Source organism: Homo sapiens, chromosome 10, assembly GCF_000001405.40.
Source record: "Homo sapiens chromosome 10, GRCh38.p14 Primary Assembly".
Lineage (NCBI taxonomy): Eukaryota > Metazoa > Chordata > Mammalia > Primates > Hominidae > Homo > Homo sapiens.
In genome coordinates this window covers 113,449,225-113,455,215 of record NC_000010.11, presented here as the reverse complement: position 1 = coordinate 113,455,215, position 5,991 = coordinate 113,449,225, and the positions used below count along the sequence as shown (strand labels likewise).

The following is a 5,991-nucleotide window of genomic DNA, read 5'->3' as shown; positions in this document are numbered from 1 at the left end:
AAACTCAGGTTAGCTAACCCGAGGGTCCAAGTGCACAATAACTACACTCTGTTGTGTCTTGTTGCACCAGCGGGGAGGGCCCCTTACCACTGTGATTCCAACAGCTCAACTCAGTAACTCTGTGCTCAGCAGGCTCCTGTAGGGCCCATCTTTTTGTTGTTGTTGTTGTTGTTGTTGTTGTTGTTGTAGCACCTTAGACTTTGTGCCCAGTTTCCTTTTCTGTCAAAACTTACCTGCCCTGTGCCCCACCCACTTCCCTCAGGGACTTGTTGTCTACAGACCAGATAACTTCCGGAGAGCTGGGAGGTGCCAAAGGTAATGATTTTCAGTGTTGACAGTTTTACCTCAGGCTGGCCCAAAGCAGATAACACACCTGGGGTAGCAGTGAGTGGGTGGTATAGGCGGCTTAGCATGTGGCAATGCAAATGCACACAGTCTGTGTGTGCTTATTTGGAGCAACATCTTCTAGGAATCAACTTCAAGATCAGCCGGAAGGTGCCTTGCTCCGGCCTGCAGGCGCCACAAGATGGCAGCATTTCTGAACATTCCAGATGGGCCCGGGGCCGCGCATCAGGGTGTCGGGGGGCCTTGGCCCTGTGTCAGGCGCACATCCTCCCTTAGGTTAGGAGGATTAAGAGTCCCGACCCCAGGATGCTCTCGTCTTCAGCCAGAGACAGAGAGAAGGGATCCAGAGCAGAAGGGCCGGGTCTGCCTGGTGCACATTCAGCTGTTTCAACAAAATCAGTCTTGAACCCAAGTGCCTGTTGGCCGGTGGCCAGGTTGGAAGTTGGGCTGGATTGTCTTTGTTTATCTGAGAAATGAAGGCTTTGGGGCCAGACGTTGTGTGGGGGCCAAGGAACTTTGTGGTGCTTTAGAAAGTTCGTCCCTGCCAGCCTCAGTCTGTGTGCCCCAGAGGACTTCATCGATGGGGCATGGCCGGGCACCAATGCCAGCATTCAGGCTCCCACCCCACTGCCACCCCGCACATATGCTCCCATCATTTGGTGTGAAATAAAGGACAGCTTTTTTTTTTTTTTTTTTTGCCGTGAAAACTCTTCCTGGTATCTGACTTACACACCTCATTCATTCATTCGTTTTTCAATAAAGATTTATTCAGCACCTTCTATGAGCCTAGTGTTCTGCCAGGTCCTGGGGACACAAGAATGACTATTCTGCTGTCAGGGAGCTTGCATCTAATGGGAGGGGGTAGAATTAATCAAGATTAATCAAGAAGTGCTGTGTAGGGTTCTCACTTATAAGTGGGAGCTAAACATTGAGTACCCCTGGATGTAAAGATGACAATAATAGACACTGGGGACTAGAGGAGCAGGGACGGAAGGGACCAAGGGCTGAAAAAGTAACTACTGGGTACTATCCTCATTACCTGGGTAATGGGATCAATCGTACCCCACACCTCAGCATCGTGCAAAATACCCATGTAAAAAACCTGCACATGTACCTCCTGAGTCTAAAATAAAAGTTGAAATTATTTTCTTTTAAAGTGCTATGTAGGAAAAGTGTAGGGTGTTATGGAGGAGACTCTAAAAGATTCGTCACTTATTAGCTGTTGACCTTGGTGTGTGGTCTCTGAGTTTTGCAAGAGGATTAAAGAATTAATACATGTGAGAATGTGTGGCATATTGCGGATTCCAAATGAGTGCTGCCTGCTATTTTCGTTACTGTTATGCACCCACAGTGCCAGGGGGTACTAGTCACATGGACTACGCATGCAACTGATGTGGCAGCCTTGACTTAACCTCTCAGAGTCTCACGTCCTCATCTGTAAAAAGGAATAATATTATCGGTATCACCACAGGACTGTGGTGGGCATTAATGAAGTATGGAAACAGTGTTAAGTATTTAGCTGAGTACCTGGTGTCTGCTATGATTATTGGATCTAGATGCCACAATGATCAAAGCTAAATATACAGGCTTGAACCCGCATTTGGAGTCATAATTAAAGCCCCAGGCTGCCTTTCAAGATGTGTGTTTGGCTAAATGATGGCCAATTTTCATCTAATAACTCCTTCCTCTTTCTACTACCCGAAGGAGTTGTTCAGAGAGTTAACTCAACTGAGTATCAGTGCTATCAGATGCTATCTAAGACCATTCAAGATACAGTCAGTGCCCATCTCGATATAGCAGGAAAAGGACTTGTCCAACCATCTGGTGAGTCAAGTCAGCAGAGAGTCAGCTGAGGGAGGAAGGAAACGAGGCCACTGCCTTGGCTGAGTGTCTTCTATGGTGGGGCTATGGGTCCTGATATACGTCACCTCGTGTAACCCTCATGGCAGCCCTGAGACAGAGGCCCTTGTATTAGCATCCCCATTTTACAGATGAGGAAATGAAGGCCAAAGGCCACACAGCAAATATGTGATGGAACTGGGCTTAAACCCAGGTCAGTCTGACTCCAAAGCCTGAAGTCTCCTCACAGCACAAAGCTGTGTTAACTGGTTTGATGAAATCGACTAGAATGTTACTACTTAGCTTGTCCCCAAGCCAAAAAAAAAAAAAAAAAAAAAAAAGGCACGTAAATGTTTGTTGAATTGGGCCAATGCCCAATTCAGTCCAAATGGGCCATCTGTCAGCTCCGTGTGTGAACAAACTAGGATGCTAGAAAACTATGAAATGGCTATTCTACCAGCTTTTATGATGCTGTTTGCTTCTGACCAGCCCATGCTCAACTTCCCCTAGGTGAGCTGACTTGGGTGGGTGGATTGCTAATCTGTGGGACAGGGGGTCCCTGAGGGCTTGGACCCCATTCCAGCACTGTTCCCAGCTCATCTGAGCTTGAGGAAGGTCTCATTGTCTCAAGCCAATCAGGGGTGAAGTTAACCCCAGTGAGACCCCTGAGGGAAGGCCCTTTTTAGGTCACAGGAGAGGGAAATACTAATGTCTCCAAAGAGCTTTCTCTACTCAAGCAGGACAACAGTAACATCCACCAACCCTGCTGAGCTGAAGAAGGTGGGGTCTCAGCTCAGCTCCGCATGCAAGGTGCTCCTGCGCTCTTCTTGCCACCTTGGTTTTTAGGACATCCTGGCAGAGCATTGGTTGAAGTGGTTCTCTAATAAAGAAAAAAATATATTGCCAGAATATTTGAGGTTGGAGGGTTTGGGTCAATGGGGTATCAAGTATGACTCAAACAGCTAACTTATTTTCCCCTCAAGACATGTTCGGTAACTTGTAGTGGACATCTGATGTTTCTGCCGGCCCAGCATCCATTCCCACCTCTTCTCATAATAGCATCCTGAGTTTTCCTTTGGGGGCCACCCCTTCCTTACTCTCCGTTTTCTGGTCTGAATTAGTCCAACTCCATTCACCATCTCTGGGGATGGGCATGTGACACCCATCCTCTGAAACAGTCACTCCTCCAGGGTGTGAAGCCCAGGGAAGATCCATACATGGACTTCACACCCTGGAGAAGTGATTGTTTCAGAGGTGGGTATGTATCTTCAGCCAGACCCAGAGAAAATCAATCCTGAGGTTTTGCTGGAACTGGTGGACAATGTACTTTCTGTGGAGGCAGCTAAACTGTTTGCCCCTCAGCCTGGAAGTGCTGGTGGCCAAGTTGCCCCCACATGGGGAGAGCCACCTGAGACTGAAGCCAGCCCAGAGGAAAGCAGGCAGAAGAGAAGGTAGGACAGAGAATCCCGGTGACATCTTCTAAGTCTGACTATATGGACTTTCCCAATTATGTGAGTTAATATATTTCTTTTGGTGTGTATACAAGTTTGAGTTGAGTTTCTGTCTCTTAGACCTAAAAGCATCCTGTGTAATGTAGAAGCATTCCCAAAATAGATCAGTAAATTGGGTGCTGAGATTACAATGAAAATTTTATTGGAAATTTATTTGACACGTAATATCAATCACGATTGTTTTACGCTGTAGATGTAAGAGAAATCATGCTATGAGAAATTTAAGATGTAAGAGAAACCATGCACTGCCTGCTGATCAGAGTCCATCTTCTACCCAAACACCAAGGCAACCACCTAATTGGTCATCCTGTATGTCCTCTTCTAACCCACTCTCCACCCAACCACCAGAACAGCCTGCCTAGACCTCAAATGTGACCCCATCATTCTACGGCACTGTGCAGAGAGCCAGGACTCCAAAGGGTCTAGTTGGTTAAACCTAAGCTCCATGGCATGGCAGGCCAGTGTGCTCTGCAGGAATAGCCCCATCACACACTCTCAAACCTCTTTGTTCATCCCTTCCCACTTGATAGGTTGTGTTCTGGCACTACCAAAGTGCCTGCAGTTATCACTCCCATGTATCCCAGGAAACATCTCTCTCTCCTTTTGTTTTTGCTGAGCTCTCTGCCATTCTTCTTTGCCTCATTAACTCAAGCTCCTGAACGTGTTCTGAGGAACACTGGTTCTGCAAGATGCTGAAGCTTTTGTTCTATGAAATAAAGGGGTTCCATGGTCAGAAAAAGTTTTCAGAAGTGCAGAGTTAGAAAAAGTTACATGGGCTTTTTATTGCAGGACTTCTTGGAGCCTTTATTATGTTAACGTGCACTGTGGCTCCCTAAGACCAAATCTCATTTGATCACAGACTCCTATTTGCCTCAAATACTTGTAACTCTCTGTTGTATCTGGGAACATAGTAGAGGAAAGCTGTCCCAGGCAATGACTCACTTTATGACCTGAAACAAGCAAGTTAATTTGTTCATTCAAAGAACATTTATGAGTACCTAATTTGTGTCAAACTGAAAAGTAATGGGGAGATAAAGAGGAATGAAACAGAGTCCCTTCCGTGAAAGAGATCGGCTTTTCCTGACTGTACTTTCTCCAATTGTCACACTTGTTCTAGTTCTCAACAACCTTAGAAGGCAAACACAATATATCTGTAGCCTTTATAGGAAACGAATTAGGTAAAAACATATTAGATAAAACCTGCAGAGAAGTTTCCGGAGGGCTTTCAAGTTGACATCATTTGTATGGTCTAAATTACAGTGACAACGCCCTTACTCACTGGGAGAATGTGGCTAAACCTGCCATCTCGAGGTGGAGGGTGATCTTTAAGAACGCTCCATAAATGCTTGTTGGTCTTTTCCTACCTTGCACCTTGCCTAATTCTCATTTTTCCTTACAAAGTCCGTCTTTGTCATGGGAGACCCCCTTTTATTTTTAATCTTTTCATTTTTGTGCCTTCCTTGGACTAAAGACAATTTTGCACCTTTCCTGTTCAACCCCGTCCACCCAAACTTTAAACACCTTTCCAAAAATATTCAATCACCTTTTCTGCCTACTGTTTTTTGATTCAGTTGGACATTACTAGAAGCAACTGGACTTTACTCGGGTTTCTAAAAACTAGGTTTCTAAGTATAATGGGCTATTGTTTCAACGGAAAGAGGAAGATGGAAGGAGAGTACAGTGTCTGATCCAGTCTGGCAGCCTTCCTGTAAGAGTTTTAACTTTCCATGATTAGAGCAGCAAGGTCCATAAATACATGAGTTTTCAAGACAAAGTGTGAGAGAGCACAGGATCTCGGGCTCTGTGAGGCTCTGGGCACAAGCAGGGCCACATCTGAGCACAGATGACCATGTACTACACCTTGATGGGGAGGGAACCTTCCCACACCGCTGCACAGAACCCAGAGACGTCCTAGCATCTGAGGATTGGGAACTGTGGGCACATCTGGTGTCAGAACCCTTGGACTGGACAAGACTATTTATTCTCATGTGGCCACTGTAAGGTTTCTTCAAGAGCATTTTTGAGGTATGAATAAGTGGAAACCAGAAGAGAGAAGAAAGAGGGCTTGAGGATCACAGCTGACAAACTGGACTGTGGCCACTGGATTATCTGCTCCATGAGTGTAGGGGTCCTGCCAGCTGTGTCTGCCATTAGATTCAATCACCTAGTACAGCATCTGGCACTTGGGATACATTTCACGAATGCATGGGCATGAAGTAATACCAAACATGCAAGGATTCTTCAGGGGCTTGCATAATCGCATGGTAATTTCTTTAAGAGGGGCTCGTTTCCAGCA

General features: G+C 45.9%; 2 annotated features.

Moving 5' to 3' along the window:
• Positions 412 to 706: an enhancer, noted in NCBI's record as "tiled region #1511; K562 Activating non-DNase unmatched - State 13:Ctcf". NCBI's record gives its function as "activates a minimal TATA promoter and a strong SV40 promoter by Sharpr-MPRA in K562 cells {active_cell/tissue: K562}" and the evidence as "EXISTENCE:reporter gene assay evidence [ECO:0000049][PMID:27701403]".
• Positions 677 to 1,177: an enhancer, noted in NCBI's record as "H3K4me1 hESC enhancer chr10:115213798-115214298 (GRCh37/hg19 assembly coordinates)". NCBI's record gives its function as "activates a minimal SCP1, AML or CMV promoter by ChIP-STARR-seq in primed H9 embryonic stem cells {active_cell/tissue: H9 hESC(primed)}" and the evidence as "EXISTENCE:reporter gene assay evidence [ECO:0000049][PMID:30033119]".